This window comes from Homo sapiens, chromosome 6 (assembly GCF_000001405.40).
Source record: "Homo sapiens chromosome 6, GRCh38.p14 Primary Assembly".
NCBI lineage: Eukaryota > Metazoa > Chordata > Mammalia > Primates > Hominidae > Homo > Homo sapiens.
In genome coordinates, this window is record NC_000006.12 from 18,295,494 (window position 1) to 18,297,305 (window position 1,812).

Below are 1,812 nucleotides of genomic sequence, written 5' to 3' on the forward strand. Positions count from 1 at the left end.
AAGCAAATCTCCTGCCTCAGTCTTCCAAGTAGCTAGGATTACAGGCATGCACCACCATGCCCGGCTAATTTAGTATTTTTAGTAGAGATGGGGTTTCACCATGTTGATCAGGCTGCTCTCAAACTCCTGACTTCAGGTGATCCTTGATCTCCCAAAATGCTGGGATTACAGGTATGAGCCACCATGACTGGCCTAACTCTTTTTTTTTTTTTTTTTTTTTTGAGACAGACTCTTCCTCTGTCACCCAGGCTGGAGTGTAGTGATGTGATCATGGCTCACTGCAGCCTCAACCTCCCAGTCTCAAGCAATCCTCCCACATCAATCCTCTCACCCAGCTCTCAGTATAGCTGGGACTACAGATGTGTGCCACCATGCTGGGCTGATTTTTAATTTTTTTTTTTTTTTTTTTTTGTAGAGATGAAGTCTCATTATATTGCCTATGCTTGTCTTGAACTCCTGGCCATAAGCGATCCTTTTGCCTCAGCCCCTCAAAGTACTGGAATTACAGGCATGAGCCACTGCACCCAACTTCTGTCTTATTGCTAATTCCCTCTTTCTCAGGGTGGTTCATTGGCTCATGAGCCTTATCATTTTTGACTCTAACTTCATCAACAGGTTCCACATGTTCTGTGGTGCAGTGGTGTTCCTGTGAAGCAGTTTTATATTTCATTTGTCAAGTCCTGCGTATTTTCTTAGTTTTGGACCTGGTTTCCAATCCTGTGTAGTTAAGGTGCACTTGAATTCCTTTCATCTACCTTGAACAGGCTTAAATCTCTAATTTCTCGTGAGTGATTCTTTTTCCATGCATAGTCCACAGCAAGTGGCAAGCTTTTGTACTGCTTCCCTCTTGAGAGGAAGGTGGTATTCTTTTTTTTATTCGTTCCTCCCTTCTGACTTTATATATTAAAATAAGAAAAAAATAAAATATATGTATATGTATATATACACACATATACATAGACACACACACATTATATATATATATGTATACATGTATATATATTCTTTATAATTTACATTTTTTTAGACGTGGGGGTCTTGCTGTGTTGCCCAGGCTGGTCTCAAATTCTTGGCCTCAAGAGATCCTCCTGTCTCATCCTCCCAAAGTGCTGAGATTACAGGTGCCAGCCACCATGCCCAGTCTATTATTTATATAAGGTGTTTAATTTCAGCTCCATGTGGTAGATAAATGCCACACTGGAAAGTGGGTATCCTATTGTCATATTTGTACTAGGTCTTCAATTCCTACTCAACATTGTGGGTTTTGAGTTTCTTTTCTGTTTCTGAGGGATTGCCCTTTCTAGCTTTCTGCCCAGCTATGCGTTTAAAAATATTTTGTTGGCCAGGCGCGGTGGCTCATGCCTGTAATCCCAGCACTTTGGGAGGCTGAGGCCGGCGGATCACCTGAGGTCAGGAGTTCGAGACCAGCCTGGCCAACATGGTGAAACCCCGCCTCTACTAAAAATACAAAAATTAGCTGGGCATGGTGGCATGCGCCTGTAATCCCAGCTACTCGGGAGGCTGAGCCAGAAGAATTGCTTGAACCTGGGAGGCGGAGGTTGTGTTGAGCCGAGATCGCGCCATTGTACTCCAGCCTGGGGCACAGAGCAAGACACCGTCTCAAAAAAAAAAAAAAAATTTGTTACATTCAGCCAGGCATAGTAGCCCATGCCTGTAATCCCAGCACTTTGGGTTTTGGGAGTCTGAGGCAGGCAGATCACTTGAGGCCAGGAGTTCGAGAGGCCTGGCCAACATGGCAAAATCCCATCTTTACTAAAAATACAAAAAAAATTATCCAGGTGTGGTGGCACA